Below are 21,122 nucleotides of genomic sequence, written 5' to 3'. Positions count from 1 at the left end.
AATCTGGAAGTGCTTTTTTTTGTTTTTTGTTTTTTGTTTTTGAGATGGAGTCTCGCCTTGTTGCCCAGGCTGGAGTGCAGTGGCGCAATCTCGGCTCACTGCAAGCTCCACCTCCCAGGTTCACGCTATTCTCCTGCCTCAGCCTCCCGAGTAGCTGGGACTACAGGTGCCCGCCACCACACCCGGCTAATTTTTTTTTTTTTTTTTTGTATCTTTAGTACAGACGGGGTTTCACTGTGTTAGCCAGGATGGTCTCAATCTCCTGACCTCGTGATCCGCCCGCCTTGGCCTCCCAAAGTGCTGGGATTACAGGCGTGCACCACCACGCCCGGCTGGAAGTGCTTTTTAATCAATGAAGTGCTCTAGAAAATAGAAACATGGCTCTGGTGATCTCTAGTTTGAAACATCTCTTTTCATCACATTTTTGTGTTTCTGTATGCAGAGATCAATAAATCAAACCACAATTCAAGATCCATACGTTTCTTTCATTTTCATTTGAGCAGTTTTTGTTCTCTCATTTTAAAGGACTGGACACTTTGCTCTATTTTACTTAGTTGACGCTTGCTACAAGAAGTAAGATTCTGAGACCAGAGGGTCATAACACTAGAATGCTCAAATGTTTGTTGACTGAATGGATGAACAACCCATGGAGGTTGGTACGATTATTATCCTCCATTTTACAAGTGAAGAAAGAGACAAACAAAGATGAGTAACTTTCCAAAGGTTGTTCTTTCACAGCTAGTGAATTGCGGAGACAAGATTCAAACACATCCTGACTCAAGTGCTTGCCTCCTAACCACTTCACTATGCTAACACTAGACTGTGTACCAAGCATGTGGCACAGATAGTCTCATTTAATCCCTTCACCTTAGTCCCATTTTACAGAAATGGAAACCAAGGTCACAGTGTACTGGAGCCAAGGTTTGAATCAAGGTCTTTTGGGCATCCAGCCCCATGCTGTGTAAGAGCTGTGTAAGAGCAAGGTTTGAACCAAGGTCTGTTGGGCATCCCAGCCCCAGGGATCCCAGCCAACAGAACTTGGACATGGGTCTGGGATGCCCAGCAGACCTTGGGCAGTTACAATTATAACTCATTCTAATCAGCTTGCTTAAGTACTAATGTGCACTTTTAAAATCTAAGGTAAGCTGAGCATTGCCGGCTGAGATCTATATCACAGAGGTGATGGTAACCCCCTAAGCAAGAGTTTGCAGATTTGTCAGCTGGCTGTGAGGAAAGAAGAGCACTGCACACAGTTGTCCCAGCCCTGCTCAAGCTGACCTTTGGTCCAACTCCCTGTGTGTCAGGGACTTCCCAGCTGTCTGGTTAGGAGGTACAGGGTTGACGCACATGTGCTGGACTGCCTTGAGGCTTGGTACCCTCTCTCAATTCCCCCTTCACAGCACTGTATTACATGACATTGTTCTCTTTGGTAAGATGCAACACATCTGTAAATACATGTTTGAGGTCTTATTTACCATTAACTGTAAGCTCCATGTTGGGAAGGGATGTGTCCATTTTATTCACTGCCCTTTGGCCAGCATCTAATACAGTACCTGACTTAGGACAGGCATTCAGTAAGGACTAGCTGGGTTGAACTGAACCACAGCATTTACTTCCCCAGAAGAAGAATGCAATCACAGCTTTAAAGGGCACCATTCTGCCCTGGACCTAAAGGAACTTGAAGAGAAAGCCACAGAAGGTTCTTTCTTGAGAGAGGCAGCAGTGACCTCCATGGTGCTCCAGCAAAGGCTCAGAGCCTGGTCCTTTAAGCAAGCAATACTGATTGTATTTTTCCTTATGAGTCTGGTTCACATTTTCGTCCCTCATGAAAGGAGCTGAGGCGGGAAGAGAACTGAGTCTAACACTGCTAGGAAGATTTGCAGAGCTAAGAACTAGGTTAACTCTGGGTTTCCACTCATCTCTTTGGTATTCCATGAATCTTGCTGGACACCTGCTCTGTGCCTGGCCCATTGGGAGTTCCTAGGGGCACAGTGATCAAAGGTACCCCCAGTGCTATTAGGGTGTGCAGGGCCATGCTTTCTGTTGACTTTCCATCAGGGGACAGGAAAAAGCAGAAGAGGAAGGATGATTGTAAGCACTTGGAAAGATCCTGGAACCTCTAAAACTCACCCATATTTCCTTTTTTTTTTTTTTTTTTTTTTGTCTCCTGTGCACATGAATACAATATGAGCAGCACTAAGGCCTGGTGATGAAGCTGGGACTAGACGTGAGACCAGACTTGGGTTCAGCTCTATTGCTTAGTGGCTGCATGACCTTGAGTTAGGTTCACCAACTCTCTAAGCCTGAGTTTTCTCATCTGTAAAGTGGGGGTGATAAGAGTGTCTTCCTCATGGGGTTGATGTGGAGATTAAATGGGACCGTGCATGTATTGGATTTGACACAGGAGCTGGCTTAGAATAGGCAGTCAATAAGCTGAATTATTATTTTAGTGATGATCTCTAAAATTCTTACCAGGGGAAAAGTGGGCTTGGGGCAGCTGTGAAGGAAGAAGTAACAGCCTGAGTGAGGTTTGGGCTAAGCCAGGAAAGAAGCCCTGGGGAAGGTCCACATGTTCAAACATTTCGGCTGTTACATTTGCTTTTGAAAAGGGCTTAATGGGAAAGAGATCTCTAATAGGACCCTCTTAGGGAACTTTGTTTAAAGGCACCTCAAGTTTAGACTGGGTAGCTGAATAGAATTCCCTCAAGACAGCAGTGCAGAAGGCATATACTAAGAAATCTGAAGGGCCTTGGGGCTTTCAGAAAGACCCCTCTTCTTGGTGGGACAGCCTCTCTGCAGCTCCCCAAGCAGTGTCACTATTGGGATCCTGGGCCTCACCCCATTGAGAACATGGGAATGCATGCTCTCAACACCTTTCCTGACCTGATGTTCTCTAATTATGGAGGTAGCCTGTAGACGCCTATGGATCCAGGGTTATTGGGCTGGGGGGATGCCCTGGGCAGTCAGCTGGGATGGGCATCTGAGGAATAGCAGGGATGTGCTAACAATGATGTTGTTCTCTGGCCTTCTCATATTGCTTTAGTACCAAGATCAAACATCCTGCCTACATGGGGTTGATATTTGGAGCAGTATACCTGCAGTCTGCATGTTGGAAGCCCTTGTTCACCGGGACATGAACATATATTCACAGAAGTAAAATACCATCCACCTGCTTCTCAGACATTTAACGTGATTGAAAGGTTCACCTACCAATAGGTGGGCTGAGTCGTGACCCTCAAATGAAAAATAGGCAGCATATCCAGCTGACCCCAGGCTGACATACACTGAGAGAGGCAATAAGCTTTTGTTCTCATATTTAATGCCACCTCCATGGAACCGGGGCTGGCATTCAGGTCACATGTGGGGCCCTTTGCATGACACTGTATGCTGCCCAATTGCACCAGAACACTCTTTACCCAGCAGTGTTGACACATGTCCTCTCAAGTCAATCAGCCCTTCCTTCTGGACTGACTCATTTAAAAGGAACAATAAGGAACAATAAGGAGGAAGAGATGCTGGGAAGAACAGGGTGGGGATGCCACTTCGGTATTTACTAAGACACTTTTTCTTTCTTTTAAAAATAAAAACAGGACAACAATCCCTGGTGGGACAGCTTACATTGGGTGATGAGTTTCCGGTGCTCATCGCGAGAGTCTTCCATGGTGTAAAGGGTTTGCTTGGTGATGCTGTTCAGGTCCACGTTCCTCCAGTCTTCCAGCATTTGGAACGTGATGTCTGCACTGTGGATCACTGTTCGAGATGCCTATAATCCAATCCAATCAACTCGTTAGCTCATGGGTTGTTAAAACCCTTTCACTGTATTTCCTTTTATGCCTTGTTAATGCATCTGCTTATGGTATTTTGCAAACTACCCTGAAATTCCGGGAAATTCAATTTCAGGAAAGCACCAGAAGACTCTGTAACTCAGAAGACGCAGACACTGTTTTCTCCTATGGTTCTTTCCACACATCTCTTTTTCTCTACAAGAAACTGCGAGGGTGGGCTAGGCCAGACCAAACCCTGCTGTTTCCAGTCCCTTTGGTCTTGACCCCATGGAACAATGGGATGAAGCCCAGAGATCTGTCAGCTTTCTGATGTAAGCCTGTGGGATGGGAGCTCTGTGCTGAATTATCCTTGTGTCTCCAGTACCTGAGAAGCTGCAGGCTGGGATTTAGAAGTGTTCTTGCTACCCCTGGGCCTAACTTAATCCCAGAAATTTCAAAGTGTGTATTTTTCATATAAATACATTCTGAAGCAGTTTATGCTCTAGTTTTCTGTTTTTGCTTTTTTAAAATGTTGCTATAATGATTAAAACATACATGAATAATTAGGTTGGAGGAAAAGGGAAACTATACCATACATCTCAGTAGTTTGTTAGTGGATGGAGGGATGTGTATAGTGTGTGAATAATTATATATATGTATTTTTTTTTCTTTAAAGCTGTGGCTTTTTCATGGAACCCTTATTAGTGAACTTAAATTTGCAAGTTGGAACAATACTTGGAACAATATCATCAAGTTGAAACAATACTGAGAAAAGCTAAGAAAAATATGTATCTAGGATCATTTCCTTTATTTGCATGTTTTCAAAATGTCTTTTAATAAAATAAAAAAAATTAAAATACACGAAGACATTGTCAAGTCTCCTAATGCATGTAAATTTCTAGGCAAAGGTAAATACTGACAAACCCTTGTTGTACCCAGACCATCCAATTACAAGTAAAATCTTAGTTAAATAATTGTAGAACTCTTTAAAGGTCACAAAGGTGTAGAATATATGAGTTAGGTGAATCTCTAATGATAATGAAAACAACTGAATGGAAAGGTCAGGTGTCCTGGATTCAAACATAACCTAGTTCAAATCCTGGCCTCGTTGCTGAGCAGCTGACTTGGGGCAGGCAAGTAGATTAACCTCAGCCTCCTAATCTATAAAATGGAGATATGATAGTACCTACCTTTTTTTTTTCTTTCCTGAGCATGTTCCTTCAGAGATGCGTTGTGAGCTACTTTATTACAATGAAATGAACTGTTTACCAAAGAGTGAATTCTGTAAGCAAGTGTTTAGAACATGCTTTTTTTTTTTTTTTTTTTTTTTGAGATGGAGTTTCACTCTTGTTGCCCAGGCTAGAATGCAGTGGCGATCTTGGCTCACTGTAACCTCTGCCTCCCGGGTTCAAGTGATTCTCCTGCCTCAGCCTCCCTAGTAGCTGGGACTATAGGTGCATGCTGCCACACCCAGCTAATTTTTTTGTATTTTTAGTAGAGACAGGGTTTCGACATATTGGCCAGGCTGGTCTTGAACTCCTGATCTCAAGTGATCTGCCCACCTAGGTCTCCCAAAGTGCTGGGATTGCTGGCCTGAGCCACCGCACCCTGCCTAGAACATGCTTTTTAATAGTGTCTCTAACCATCATGTTTAGGGCCTTAGTGCTTACCTCTTAAAGAAGGGCTGCTGTTGAGGATTCCTTGAGATAGTGTTTGAAAAACAGAGTGCATAGTGCAGGGAACTCAATAAAAGTGGCTACTGTTATCCGATCGCTTCTCTTTCAGTGATTGTGTTGATACCTCAAGGCCTTTGCACATGGTGTTCTTGCTGGCCGGAACATTCTTCTCCCTCCTTGCCCCAGCAGCCCCACTACAATGTACGCTCCAGCTTAAATGTCACACCCATGGAAAGGCCATCTCTGACCACTTTATCTACATAGGACCTGAATGCCTTGTGATTTTCTATTTCCATTCTGTTTCTTTCATAACATTTAACACTTTTAATTTTTTTTCCTGCTGAGGGCAAGTACCACTAAGCACAGTATTGGGCACACAGTAGGCACCCAAAAGATTCTGTGAAGTGAATGGCTGAGATAGGAATGCCAAGTGCTTACTTACCTGGTGTATCTGAAAGAGCCTGGACGTGAATCTTAGGTCTAAGTATTTGAGGTGAGTCTTCAGTTGGACGTTGTTTAGTCTGACTTGCTGTGTATGTGTGTTTGGGAAAGCTCACTGGGATACTAGCTGGTGTTTCATTCCCAGCCTTAACCCTAGTCCTCTGTCTGATCTGGGAATGCGTCTGAAAGCTTTCCGGTAGAGATGGAAATGGGGCATTTGCTGATTAAATTACATACTGTTTTTGTGCGGAAGGTGGAGAGGGAACGTGTGTGTGCGCCCCTACGCTTGTGCAACACGTGGCTATAGGCATGGGTGTGGACGCTTTTATCTACATGTGCATTAAAGGAACAAAGTCCTCTCTAAATTGTCTGATCCCCAGAGGGAGGCACCAAAACCATGTCTAGTTCCCTGATATGACCCAAGAGCCACTCTTCCAAGCTGGAAAAAAGAACCAGATGCTGGCATGCATCCTCAGAAATAAGGCAGTGTTTCTTTGTTAGGCCAATATTCACCTTCTTTCCTGAATCCCATTAATCTGTCAGGCTCTGCACCATCACCAGAACAATGCCCAGGTGTAGCCTCTGTAGCAGCCTGCATGAATCTGGATGAGTTTCCCTCTGGTCTCCAAATCATCCCCTGTGCTGTCCATGCCAGGGGCAGGACAGGAGCAGTGAGGTATATGTGGGTGTTGTGTTATACTTTCTGGTTCCTGGTCTGGGACCCTCCTTCAGGCCACTCTAACTAGAAACCCCTCCCTACCACCTTGACCTTGAACCCACCCAGAACCAACAGCACCTTAAAGGAGAGGCTGCAAACAGAAACACAGGAAGGGGGCAGGCAGGTGACATTCAGGAGTGAGGTGGGCCAAGTGTGAGAGAGTTGGTGGAATGAGGACGGTGGCTGCTGTGGAGAAGCTTGGCCCAGCAGCTGACAGCTGCCCTGGGGAAATGGGACTCTGGGAGCAAGTTGTCAGCCCTTGAAGGTTTTCTACAGAAAAATGTGGGTGTTTAGCTGTCATCTCCCAGTTCCAACTGTTAGTGACCATGTGAAAAAAATTGTTTTGAACATATTCAAACCAAACAACAATAACCCCACATATCTGAGGGCCAGATTTGGCCTGTGGCCACCGGTTTGCCACCTCTGCTTTAAGGTCATTAATATTTTAATGTAATGTTAATCGGTTGCCTTAACAGACTTAGAGTCCCTTCATTAAAGTGCAAAATTAATAGAAATGTAGTTATATGCCATCAAGCTATAACTACAGAGTTGATAGGGGCATGGAGTGGGATCTTCCACTTTTACTTACTACACTTATATTTTTAAATGTTTTTGAAAGCAAGCATATGTCACTTTTGTGCTAAAAATAATGCAGATCTGGAAAAAAACTAAACAAAATTAGGCAAATATTGAATATATTATGTGGCTTTGAACTCAGATGATACAACAAACAAATCATCCTCTTAATCTGTTTGAATCATTTGATTCAACCACTACATACATTTTGGGCTGGATAATTAAGAGAAACACAGAACTGTGGACTTAGAACATATCTGAAAGGTTAAGGGGCAACTGATACCAGAAATTATTTTGTATATTAGTTGAAACTAGTTATTGGCTAATGTTTTCATTCCTTATCTGTAGAAATTAAAAAATAATAGAGAGAGTGCCCTGTTAACCTGAAAGATCCTGCAGGAGGTTGTTTTTGTGGATTTGCCCCCTCATTTGCAATGACTCAGCAGTGATTAAAACACATAATGGAGGACAGCTACCTGGCAGAGATGATTTAGTGATGTTTGCCGTCTCAGAATTTGGGAGAACCTTCTCGACACTGCAAGGAGAAAAGAATTAGTTTGAAATATTTGCATGCTTTATGATTCTAACTTGGATTTTCCAGGGGCACATTTCAAAAAGTAGCCTGCTTATTTTGCCTACGTTTATCTCACTGCCCAATCCCATTTTATGTACCCACTGGCAAAACCCTGCACTTGATTCTTTGTTCTCCCATGTGGGCTTCAACAACTACTTCCTAATGGTGACATTTGGGGTACATATTTCAAAGTCATGCACACGATACACTCGCAGGTGTGAGAAATGGTGGCGTCAATCAACCGTGAGTAAAAGCAATTATTTACTTGTCTTTCATTTCGCTAATTGCAAGCTCAATCACTTCTCCCCGTAAATAATTGCAGGAATCAAGTGGAAGCTTTGAAGAAGTCCCTTTAAAAAGTAGTATGTCTAATAGTAAACCTTGATTGAGCCTCAGCGGTGTGTGGGGCTAGGAGGTGCTTCTGGGATGGAACCCTGGCTTTGCATTCATAATCTGTCCTTTTTATCAAGTGATCTCCATGACCTGTTTGCATGTTTTGATGATGACTGCAGCTAGGAAAAGGTCTTGTTTCCTACACTGACATAATAGGCTGATAATTTGAAGTAGGGTGATCTTATATCTGTGGATTTCAACGCAGACAAGACATGTGCCTGCCCTAGCTCTTCATTCTTACAGAGTGGTTGCAGTGGGACTTGTTTCCACCCCTTGCACATTCTCAAAATACACTCCCAGGCTGGGCTCCCTGGGAAGAACAGCTTCCTCCAGACACACACAGGTGGAAGGTCCAACAAACCTCCTTGCCGCCGACTTTGAACAGGTTTGTTTTGTCGGCATAATTAAAATGGGTGCGGGGGCATTCTTCTTGGTAATTTCTGAACTGGTCAAGTAATAGTCAGAAATTTCCCTAGGATTATTCTAATTTGTACTCAGAGCTGGCTTGATTTGAAAAATAAGGTGTGGAGTGGAGGAATGGGGGTGGGAGGGGGCAGATGGACTTCTAATTTTCCAGGCTGATCAATCGTTAATCCTTCTCCTTAATTACTTTTTCTTTAACTTTGTGATGTGGAATTTAGTGCTCATGAAAAGAAAAGAGCTGAGAGCCATGAAATAAAGCAGGCTTTATCAATAGGTGATGGCCACTGCAGGCAGCCTCAAAGCGCGTCTGAAAGGGCTCCCTTTGCCTGTGGAGAGAGGGTAATTTGATCGCCTTCATTTTGTTCACTGGCACTTATTTTGGGCAGGAATAGCAAGCCGTTGTATTCAAATGGGGCTTTAAAAAATGTATATTTTAAAACTTTGTTTTGCTGAAAATCATTTCATCTTTGTTTAATAGCAGCAAACGAACGGTACATGAGTCTCCCTGCAAGTACAGGCAGATTGAAACAGAAAATTAGAAAACTAATGCTGGGGAATGGGTGCCAACACTCAGCAAAGAAAAGGTTCACAGTCTCAATCCCTTTATGAGAAATATTAATTTGGCTTTCTAATTAGGCAGAGAATGCATGAAGCCCTTAAGCTATTCTCTCTCTCCTGCTACCACCATTTTATGGGCAGGAACTTCAAGGAAATCTGAGACCTGAGTTTGATTCCTGGCCCCTACTTACAGCTGTGTGGCTGCGTGGCTTTGGGGGAACTCTCTTTGCCTCTTAGAGCCTCATCTGTAGAACAGGGATACTACTTTCTACATCGCAGAGGCAGCATGAGGATTAAATGAGATAAGGAGGATGGTGGTGGTGGTGAGCAGAAACTTTGGTGTCAGACAGACCTGGGAGAAAATCCTGTCTCTGCTACTTACTACCTCTCTAAGTTGATTCCTCTTCTGTAAAGGAAGAAATGTGCCACCTATAATAAACATTTTATGAGGATTAAATATATTTACATATGTAAAGTAATTAGTATAATACCTGGTGCTTTATAGTCAACCAGTAAACAGTAGCTGCTGCTACTATTAACAACTTATGTAAAATATTTGGCACTAAAATGTAATTCTCTCTTCCATCCCGCTCTCAACTCAGTACTTACATTCGAACTTGATGTTTCGCAAGTTTTCTGGGAGGTCGTGGAGAGCCACTTTTAGCCACTCATCCAGTTGCTTGGCAAACTTTCGAATCACCTGAGTTAAGCTAGAAAAAGAAACGATGAGTTTTAAGTGCTGCACATGTTGCTTAGCTCCTCCCACAGGCCCCTAGAGGGTTTTATTTCCCCTAATCATGTTTTGGCTGCTACCAATAGGTGCCATTTGTAATAGCAACCTCAGAGACAGTGCCAACAGTCCAAGCCCTGTGGAGAGCCGGTGGGTCTGGGAAGGGCACGAATAGAATGTACTCTGCTGGTCACTGATGGCCACTGCAAGGCTTGGTGGCATCCAGAACTATTTAGATGCAAGGAAAACATGCTCCTTCATGCTTTTGAAGAGCTTGTGTGAGGGGTGAAGACAGTGGGCCGTGGGCCTTAGAAAGCCCAGTCCTGTCTGATCCTCCCAGGCAGGCAGGAACCCTGTTTGCAACATAACTGCCATGCCTGCCCACCCAGCTTACCAAACTGCTCGCCATTTGGTGGGAACTGGGAAGCAACAGCATATTTTTAAATTAGCAAACAACCCTGATATGGGCCTTGAAACCATATTAGATTCCAAGAGTCAAAGACCATATTAGAACAGGAGGCAGGAAGGAACTGGAGAGGCGAAGCACTGAGCAGGGCAGTAGGTTGCAATAAGATGGGAATTTGAAGTTGAGAAGACACCGGGCACCATTTTCTGGCCCTTGCTATCAAAGCCATCTGCTCACAGGCCTAGGTTCGTTCTCCTCCACGAAGTCCTCCTTGGTTGTGCCAGACACAGGGACATCTCCCCATTGACCATCCATCCTTGCCTTCCACCAACACCACCTAGCCTGCCCTGGTTCAGCCTTTCACCCACTGTCTCCTGTCAGACACAAAATCACCAACCTCCACCCCACTGGGCAACCCCATTTCTCTCTGGTCACTGACTCTTTCCTTTCTCATGGCTATCTCCAACCTTCTTCAAGACCCTTACGCCTCCAATTCCCCAACTCTCTCCTCCCTGCCAGCGGGTGGAATCACCTCCTACTTCTCAGGGAAAAAAAAAAAACATACACACACACACACAAAGGAAGGACGTCATCAGCACTCAGCTACCTGTCTGGTTCATCTCTTCCTCCTTCCTGATAGAATCCATGAGCGATCCTTCCTCTTGCCATCCCCTGCTGCTTTCTCAGGAAATCTACATTACCGACGGTCCCTTCTCCTGTATATTCAGCTTTTTCTTCTCTACTACATCATTCTGCTCATCAGTTTTTTTAGGAGACAGTCTTGCTCTGTTGCCCAGGCTAGAGTGCAGTGGCACAATCTCAGCTCACTGCAACCTCCGGCTCCCAGGTTCAAATGACTCTCGTGCCTCAGCCTCCTGAGTAGCTGGGATTACAGACACACACCACCACGCTCAGCTAATTTTTTGTCTTTTTAGTAGAGATGGGCTTTCGCCATGTTGGCCAGGCTGGTCTCGAACTCCTGACCTCAAGTGATCCACCCGCCTTGGCCTCCCAAAGCGCTGGGATTACAGGCGTGAGCCACTATGCCCAGTCCTGCTCATTATTTTAATGCATTTAAGAATGTCTCACCTTAAAAACAACAACAACAACAACAACAAACCTCTTATTTCCTCCACTCTATCTCCTTGAGCCACTGCCCTTTCTCCCACATCACAGACAGACTTCTTCAAAGTGCTGCCCAATTCTTTGTCTCATTTCCTTCACCTCCCATTCCCTCCTCACCCCGCTCCTGACCTCAGCCTAAGCAGCCCCCATGCATGATTCTAAACCCAGTGGACTTGTCATGTTTCTCATCTGCTTGACATCTTGGCAGCATTCGATTCTGTCACCTGCGCCCTCCTTTTGGAAACACTCACTTCTCTTGGCTTCTGTGATCCCTCCTTCTGCTGCTCCTCCCCAGTCACAAAACTCCTGCCCTCTGCCTGGTCATCACGCCTCTCAGTTCTTCATGTCTAGTCCTGGGCTCTCTTCTCACAAAGCTTTCTTCCTTCCCCGGGTAGTTTATCCAGGCCCACAGATTCACTGAATCTGCGAAATTCCCATCTGTGCAGATTCACTGTCTGCACTTAACTTTTGCACCTCCGGCCCAGAGGTCTCCAAGTTGAACTTGTGATTTCCCCCTTGGACCTGCTTCTTTTCTTGTGTCCTCTATTTCAGTATGAACTCTATTTTTCATCATTTTATTTTTATTGATCACTTTTTTATTTTCAAGAATTTCAAACATACCCCAAGACAGGTAGTATAATAAACCTCCAAGCACCCATGACCCAGCTTCAAAAATTGGCATCATTTTTGCCAGTTTAATATATTATATTCCACTTTATCTTTTCTGAAGTGTTTCAAACAAATCCAAGATGTCATTTAACCCCTAAAAACTTAGTGTGCATTTCTCACTGGCAAGGTTTAAATACATATGTGTACATGTATACACACACGCACACAATATGCATGCAACATTTAAATCCTCCATGCCATTAGTTTATCTAACTGAATGAATAGTAATTCCTTAATATCATCTACAGCCCAGTCTGCATTCAGACTTTTCTATTTCTCCCAAAGATGTTTAGTTTGTTTGAATCAGGATCCAAACAAGGTCCACACATTGCATGAAAGATATAACATTGTCCTGTTCTATTTCTTAAATATTTTTTTCCCCTATTTTGTGCCATTTATTTATTGGCAACATCATGGTATTTGTTCCCTGGAATGTCCTACACTCTGATTTGGTTGAGTTCTGTCTTGTAGTGTCATGTAATCTATTCATCTATCCTGTCTGCTTCTAAAGACTTGATTAATTCAGTTACAATTTCTTTAGGCAAGTATCCAGTTTTGCATACGCTATTTTGGACACAGTCTCTCTTTCCCTTTACCACATATTACAGATTTTGCTTCCAAATTACTTCCCAAGCACAGCCACTTCTCTCCCTTTTCTCCCTAGTTCAGGCTGCCGTCATCTCTCATCCGGACTTACAGTAGCTTCCTGAGTCCATCCTGCCCTGCTCACCCTCCCACCTCCACTCCATCTTCCACATTGTCAGAGGGACATTTCCAAAACACCTGTAATTCCGATTAAAACTCCTCAATGTTTTCACATTATTCTTAGGATAAAAACCCCAATTCTTGCTGCAGCCCCCAAGGCCCCACCTTGCACCTTCTCCCTTTCTCTGCATTCCGGACCTCTGGCCTCCAACTCCAACTGGTCCTCTCCCCTCAGGGCCTTCGCCCCTGGCATCCTTTCAGTCAAGAACATCTCTTCCCTCTTCACCTGCTTAGCTCCATGTTATTTAGCTAATCTCAGACTAGATATTATTTCTATAGGCAAACCTTCCCCGAAGCCCCCAGACCAGGTCAGCACCCCTGATGATTCCTCTTGAAAGACCATGTAGTTGTGACAGTTTGTTGTTACGTCAACTTGTGTGATTATCTGATCATTGTGCATCTTTCTCACTGTACCCTTCATGCAGAGGGCAGGGACTATGTCTGTTTTGCTTATCACTGTATCCTCAGTACCTAGCATAGTGCCAGACACATAGTAGGCACATAAGAAATGCTTGTTAAGTGAAGTGTAAGAATGAATGGCTCTCCATCCCCAGATGGACAACGGGTCTTGTCCAAACTGTCCCCCTCCCTACCCTCCTTATCTCTGGCTGCAGCTCCTCCCACTGTCCCCTCAGCTTACTCCATCCCTGCAGCACTAGCCTCCATTCAGTTTCTCCAACACTTCAGGCCCTTGCTTACCTCACCAGGACCTTTGCACTTGCCATCCCTTCTGCCTGGAAGCTCTTGCCCCAGATAGCAGCTCACCTCCTGATCACCTGCTCTAAGAGATGCCTCCCTAAGCCCCAACTGACTCCATCTCCTGCAGCATCTATGCCTTCTTGACATACTGTCCTCTGTGGGTGTATACCTGCAGCTCGACCTCCTTCCTCCGCTTTCCCTCCACCTCTTTCCTTCCCTAGGCTGGGATGCCAGGGTCTGTCCTCCACTTCTAGGGACACACTTTTCCTCCCTCTTGTGCGGCTGGCTGCCAAGTCTACAGCTCCAGCTTCAGCCCTTCTCCTACATCTTAACTCCACACTCGTAGCTCCCTGAATGCCCATCAGCAGTGATGCTGTTACAACTGCAACAACGGTGATAACAGCAGTTACCTTTTAATGAGTGCAATGTGCCAAGCTACTGAACACTTCACATGTACTTTCTTAATTAATCCTCACCTCAGCCCTAGAAGTACATACTGTTGTTAGTCCCAACAGAGAGGTGAGAAATCGAGGCTCACAAAAGTTATTTTACTTGTCCAAAGAGATGCAGCAAGTGGCAGAGCCAGGAGTAAAGCCCAGGTCTATCTGACTTACAACCGCTGTCCTACTCCACTTTGATGAAAGTACCACATTGTGCACTTTGACATGCCTTGCTGCTCCCCATCTCCAGTGCCCTCTGCCTTTCTGTCTGATGTTGCTATTCCTTTGGCATTTCAGGCTTGGTCCTCAGTCTTTTCTTTGCCTCTTTGACTTCTCCTCCCTGCCCATACGACACACACACGCGCACACACACACATGCACACACACACATGCATACACACACACTTTCTTACTATAGCTAACCCAATTGTTATTAACAACCACTGTGCTGAGATTACTTGGAAGAAGTGAAAAACCCCAGTTTGAGAATGATTTCCCTTTCTTATAAATGGGAGTGTATGATCCATGGTTATCTCTATCATAGTGTCTTTTTATTCCCCTGAATTTCAACATGCTCTTCTGAGTTGGAAAGGAAGGGATGGGTCTGAGCTAGGGGGTGGGGAGATGTGCCTCAGCCTGGGCCTGCCCAGGGTCATGAGTGAGAACTTCTAGTACCAATTCTCATTTCCATGATGCCAAGCACAAGGCTTGGTACAGAAAAGGCACTCAAAAAAGTTTGAGGGATGGATGAATATATAAAACTGAAAAGTCAGCTCTCAGATGGAGCCTGATGTTTTGAATAACTTTGTCTTCCTGATTTAATGAAAACGGCACTTGATTTGTAAGCCTTGCAGGCTAAGATTGCAGTAGTAATTATGTAACCACGTGATTTTTTTAACAGTCTCCTTTGGCAGACTGTAACTCAATGAGAGCAGGGAGCATGCTTATCTTATGTAATGCTGTATTCCAGGAACTAGCATAGTCCCTAGCACATTGTAGTAATCAATCAACATTTGTTTAATGAATGAATGAATATTGTGGTTTTCTTGAATGAATATTCGAGTCCTGACTATTTCATTTATTTGCAGGTGAAGGTAGACAAGTCATTTCAGCCTTTTTTTTTTTTTTTTTTTTTTTTTTGAGACAGTGTCTTGCTATGTCACCCAGGCTGGAGTGCAGTGGTGGAATCTCAGCTCACTGCAACCTCCGCCTCCTGGATTCAAGTGATTCTTGTGCCTCAGCCACCCAAGTAGCTGGGATTACAGGTGCCTGCCACCACGCCCAGCTAATTTTTGTATTTTTCGTAGAGACAGGGTTTCGACACATTGGCCAGGCTGTTCTCAGACTCCTGGCCTTGAGTGATTTACCTGCCTCGGACTCCCAAAGTGCTGGGATTACAGGCATGAGCCACCATGCCTGGCCCTCATTTCAGCTTTTAATCTTTAACCTCCACATCTGTAAAAATAAGTCAATTATAGATAGGAAGGGAGGGGTTAACATTTCATTTGTACCCCACAAACTGCTTTGTAATAAACAGCAAATGCCATGTGTATGTGTGTGTTTAACACCTATAAAGCATTATTAAAAGTATGTGAATCTTTCTTATAAAGATGTGTTTTACTAAATCCTCAGAAGATACCTTTGTGGTACAAAATAAAAGTGGAGATTTAGCCTCCGTTCACTTGATCAGTGACTGAGAAAGATTTTAATAACACAAAGCCCTAAATGGCTCCTACGTATATAATATAGACATATACATATTATTATAAAAATTGAAATTCGGTCTTAATGTAGAACATTTGAATAATGCAGAAAAGGATGAGACTAAAATGTGGCCATAATCCCCTCTGGAGGTAACCTTTGTTAACCTATTTGGGTGTGTTTCCGTTCCATCTACAATGTGGAAAGCCGGAAAGAGCATCACTTCCACCATAACAAGAAAAAGCCAGATAATCTACAAAATTATAACTTTTCTTTAAACCATTAGAGAGCTGAGGTCACAATCATGTAGCCTGGAATTTATGGAAAGAAAGGCACCTCCAATGAGAGAAGGACTTGGGGACTGGCTCACTTGCAATAGAGGGAAGAAAACAGGGCGTTACATACAAGTGGGTGAAATAAATTTTGCTAACACTTTTAACAAATTGCTAATGGGCCAATATGAACTACCATGAGAGTATAGAACTCTTGGAATGACAGATGCAAAAGAAGTTCACATCTATTTGCAAGCCCTCCTCCACAGGCCTCACCAGGTGTTCATGAGGAAGACTGGGGACAGGACAGGAGGACAGAAGAAGCCTTTCTGAGAGGTACATGTTTGGAGGAAGGGAACAGCTGTTGCTGTGGAAAAAGCATGAAGTTCCACCAAGACCTTTCTCCCTTATGGAACAAAAGCCTCAGTTGACTAGGGGAAAAGCAGAAAACACTGTTGACCCCAGGGAATAGGGAAGACCCGTTGTAGGTGGGGGAAAGATGAAAAGAGAAAGCTCTGTAACCCTGCTAGAAACCACCAAGGGATCAAATCACTAGAGTTTTGTCTCTGCAATGAGTCAAGATCACTGAGAGTGCCCAACTCTGAGATCCAAAGCACAGGGCTTGCTTAAGACTGAAACAGGACTGTACAAAGGAGAACCCACATCCCCACTTCCAGCTCCAATCAGGCTAACAAGCACCAAGTCTTAAGCAACTGTGTGCATAGGGATGGCCTACAGGTAAAGGAGTAGGCACATTAAGGGAAACAACCCAACAAATCTCCAACTTAAGCACAAAGTACCCCAGAAGAATTTAAATCTGGTGCTACACTAAAGGTAATCATAGGAACAACAAAACCCAAATGCAATGAACTCCCGAATAGACTGCCTCAACTCATATTCAGAGCCCAGGGGAAGAAGCATGCCCATTTCCAGGCATAAGTATTATTTACCCCAGTCTCTACTCTTCTACACACTGTTTGGCAGCCAATAAAAATTATGAGATAAACAGAAAATTAAGAAAAAGAACCTACTGTCAAGAAACAAAACAATCAACATAACCAGACTATCAGACAGGAAATTTAAAATTTAAAGTAACTATGATTACTATGTTAAAAGCTCTAATGGAAAAAGTAAACAAGCATGAACAGAGGTGGAATTTCAGAAGAACACATAAATAATTACTACTATAAAATTAATATATTAATAATAAATGTGATAATAATTATTATTAGAGACAGGGTCTTGCTCTGTCATCCGGCCTGGATCATGATTCATTGTAACCTCAAATTTCTGGGCTCAATTAATTTTCCCGCCTCAGCATCTTGAGTGGCTAGACTATAGGCACAAGCCACTATACCCAGCTAATTTTTTTTTGTAGAGACAGGATCTTGCTATGTTGTCTGGGCTGTCCTCAAGTGATCCTTCTGCCTTCATCTCCCAAAGCACTGGGATTACAGGTGTGAGCCATACGGCACCCAGCCAGAATGCAGAAATTACTTTTAAAAGAATGTAATATTAGAAATTGACATAAAAACAAAGTACAGTGATGGAGATAAAAAATGCTTTCAATAGTCTCATTAGTAGCATTGGCATAGCAAAGGAAAGACTCAGTGAACCTGAAGATAGGTCAGTAAAAATTACTCCATCTAAAACACAAGGAGAAAAATGAGTAGAGAAAAAGCAAAATCAAGCATCCGGGAGTTGTGGGACAGTATCAAATGGCCTAACATACTTGTAATTGAAATATCAGGAGGAGAAAAAAGAGAGAAAGCAGAGAAGAAGATAATGAATGGGTATTTTCCAAAAATAATGAAATACATCAAAGCACAGATCCGAGAAGCTCAGAAAACCCCAAGTAGGATTGAAAACAACACAAAGCATTGAGACACATCATGGTCGAACAGCTGAAAACCAAAGATAGAGACTGAAAAACCAAAGACAGAGAAAACTGTGGAGGCATCCAAGGAAAAAAGGCACACTGCCTACAGAGGAGCAAAGATGTACAAAAGACAAACATGCAAGCCAAAAACAATGGAGTGAAATGTTTAAAATGCCAAAAGTGAAAAACGTGTTAATTCAGAATACCATACCCAGTGAAAGTATTTCTCAAAATCAAAGAGAAATAAAGACCTCTTCAGAAACAAATAATTTGTTACCACTAGACCTGCAATATGAGAAACATTAAAGAAAATTTTGCAGGCAGAGGACTATGATTACATATCCAACTCATATATTACACCGATGAGTTGGATATACACAAAGAAATGAAGATTAGGAATCATGTGAATGAAAGCAGATATAAAATATTTTTTCATATCTTTAATCATTCTCAAAGATAGTTATCTAAAGCAAAAATAGTTATAATGTTTTAGGAGTTTATAGCATATACAAAAACAAAATGTATGACAACAATAGCATAAAAATGGGAGGACAAATAGGGAGTATACTGTTGTTAAGATTCTTACACTACATGTGAAGCAGTATAACATTATTTGAAGGTATATTATAATTGAAGATATACAAACTTGGCCGGGCGCGGTGGCTCACGCCTGTAATCCCAGCACTTTGGGAGGCCGAGGCGGGCGGATCACGAGGTCAGGAGATCGAGACCATCCTGGCTAACAAGGTGAAACCCCGTCTCTACTAAAAATACAAAAAATTAGCCGGGCGTGGTAGCTGGCGCCTGTAGTCCCAGCTACTCGGGAGGCTGAGGCAGGAGAATGGCGTGAACCCGGGAGGCGGAGCTTGCAGTGAGCCGAGATCGCGCCACTGCACTCCAGCCTGGGCGACAGAGCGAGACTCCGTCTCAAAAAAAAAAAAAAAAAAAAAGAAAAAGAAGATATACAAACTTAAAACAACTAGTAAATTTTTTTTAAGAGGTATTTTTAAAAAGACAATCATGGCCAGGCATGGTGGCTCACACCTGTAATCCCAACGCGTTGGGAGACTGAGGCAGGAGGATTCCTTGAGCCCAGGAGTTCAAGCCAGCCTAGGAAACATGGCAAGACCCCATCTCTACATAAAAGTAAAAAAATTAGCCAGGCTTAGTGGCACATGCCTGTAATTTCAGCTACTCAGGAGACCGAGGTGGGAGGACTGCTTGAGCCCAGGATGTTGAGTCTGCAGTGAGCTGTGTTTGTGCCACTGTACTCCAGCTGGAGCCTGGGTGACAGAGTAAGACCCTGTCTCAGAGGGGGAAAAAGAAAGCCAACCATGGAGATAAATGGGATGATAAAAATAATTAAACAAAATTAGGCACAACAAGAGGAATAAAGGAGCAAAAACTGATGAAACTAATAGAAAACAACTAGGAAGAGGGAAGATCTTAATTGAACCATATATTTAATTACATGAAATATAAAGATCTACACATACCATACCAACTAAAAAGGAAAATTGCCAGACAATAAAAAAGAAAGACCTCCCTCTATGTTTCTATGTTGGTTACAAGAAATCTACTTCAAATATAAAGACAAATTAACAGGGTGGAAAAAAATGTAATGCAAACACTAATTTAAAAAAAACCTGGAGTAGCTATATTACAAACAGACAAAGTAAACTTCTGAACAAGAAATATTATGAAAGATAAAAAAAGACATTATGAAAAGAAGTCAATTCACCAATAAGACATAACAGTTCTAATTTGTATGCATTTAACATCAGAGCTTCAAAATACATGAAGCAAAAATGTATAGAAATAGACAAATTCACAATTAGAGCTGGAGGTGTCTATACTTCTCTATTGCTAATCAATAGAACAAATGGACAGAAAATCAGTAAAGACAAAGAAAATTTAAACAATACTATCAATTAACTTGACCTAGTTGACATTTATAGAATAATTAACCTAATGATACCAGAATATATAGCTTTTTCAGGTACACATAGAACATTCACCAATAGGCCACATTCTGGAGCATGAAACAAGTATCAACTTAAAAGAATTGATATATTACTATGTATATAATATGACCAGAAGGGAATTAAACTAGAAATTATTAATAGAAAGATATCTTGAAAATCCCCAAATATTTAGAAATTAAACAGTTTACTTCTAAATACCCCATAGATCAAAGAGGAATTCACAAGAGAAAGTAGAAAATATTTTGAATGGAATTAAAATGAAAATCCAACATATCAAAATCTGTGGGTGCAGCTAAGTAGAGATTAGAATAAAATTTATAGCATTAAATGCTTTTATTAGGAAAGTAGAAAGATTTATAATCAATGACCTAAGCTTTCACTTAAAGAAACTAAAAAAAGAAGAGCAAAATAAACCCAAAGCAAGCACAAAAAGGGAGGAATAAAGATAAAAAGCAAAAGTCAATAAAATTGAAAACAGAAAGCAAGAAACCAGAGAAACCAAAAGCTATTTTTTGAGATCAATAACACTGAAAAATTTCTAGTCACACTGACCAAGAAAAAGGAAAGAAAACACAAATTACCTACATCGGGAATGAGAAAGGACACATCACTACAGAGCCTACAGATATTAAAAGGATAATAAGAAAATATTATGAATTAAAAAAAAAAAGAAGAGAGGGAACACTTTTCAATGCATTTATGAGGCCAGGTTTCCTCTGATATCTAAATAAGAGAAAGACATTATGAGACAAGAAAACTAAAGATGAGTAACTTTCGTTATTGATCAAATAACTTTGATGAACTATAAAACCCTCTGAACAAAATATTAACAATTCAGATCTAGCAACATATTTTTTAAAAATTTATGACCACCAGACTAGGCTGTATAGTGAGACCCTATCTCTACAAATTTTTTTTTTAAATTAGCCAGGTCCTGTGGGGCATGCCTATAGTTCTAGCTACTCCGCAGGCTGGGGCAGGAGGATCACTTGAACCCAGGAGTTTGAGGCTGCAGTGAGCAGTGATCAATGATTGCACCACTGCACTCCAGCCCAGGCAACAGAACAAGACCTCATCTTAAAAAAAAATTAATTGGCCAGGTGTAGGGGGCTCACGTCTGTAATCCCAGCACAAAGGGAGGCTGAGGCGGTTGGATCGCCTGAGGTCAGGAGTTCAAGACCAGCCTGGCCAACATGGTGAAACCCCGTCTCTACTAAAAATACAAAAAATTAGCCAGGCATGGTGGTGCACACCTGTAATCTCAGCTACTTGGGAGGCTGAGGCAGGAGAATCACTTGAACCCGGGAGGCAGAGGTTGTAGTGAGCCA

General features: G+C 42.6%; 1 protein-coding gene and 1 long non-coding RNA gene across 4 annotated transcripts in view, besides 1 other annotated feature; one reads left to right on the top strand and one right to left on the bottom strand.

Moving 5' to 3' along the window:
• LOC100287944 (uncharacterized) overlaps positions 1-21,122 on the top strand; it is a 278,422-nt gene that overhangs the window by 55,669 nt on the left and 201,631 nt on the right. The gene's annotated exons all lie outside the window — the stretch shown is intronic.
• The window catches only part of RFX4 (regulatory factor X4), a 179,800-nt gene that overhangs the window by 43,641 nt on the left and 115,037 nt on the right, over positions 1-21,122 (bottom strand). For all 3 annotated transcript variants that reach the window (NM_213594.3, NM_001206691.2, NM_032491.6), the window contains 3 exons: positions 9,733-9,833; positions 7,652-7,710; positions 3,619-3,763 (listed from right to left, as the gene is read on the bottom strand). In NM_213594.3, the coding sequence (NP_998759.1) occupies positions 3,619-3,763; positions 7,652-7,710; positions 9,733-9,833 (305 nt within the window). The remainder of the gene's footprint in view (positions 1-3,618; positions 3,764-7,651; positions 7,711-9,732; positions 9,834-21,122) is intronic.
• Positions 7,156-8,355: an enhancer, noted in NCBI's record as "MED14-independent group 3 enhancer chr12:107104586-107105785 (GRCh37/hg19 assembly coordinates)". NCBI's record gives its function as "activates an origin of replication core promoter dependent on BRD2, BRD4, P300/CBP and CDK7 cofactors, and independent of MED14, by STARR-seq in HCT116 cells {active_cell/tissue: HCT116}" and the evidence as "EXISTENCE:reporter gene assay evidence [ECO:0000049][PMID:35650434]".

This window comes from Homo sapiens, chromosome 12 (assembly GCF_000001405.40).
Source record: "Homo sapiens chromosome 12, GRCh38.p14 Primary Assembly".
Classification (NCBI taxonomy): domain Eukaryota; kingdom Metazoa; phylum Chordata; class Mammalia; order Primates; family Hominidae; genus Homo; species Homo sapiens.
The sequence above is the reverse complement of the archived record's forward strand: the minus strand, read 5'-3'. Positions and strand labels throughout refer to the sequence as shown.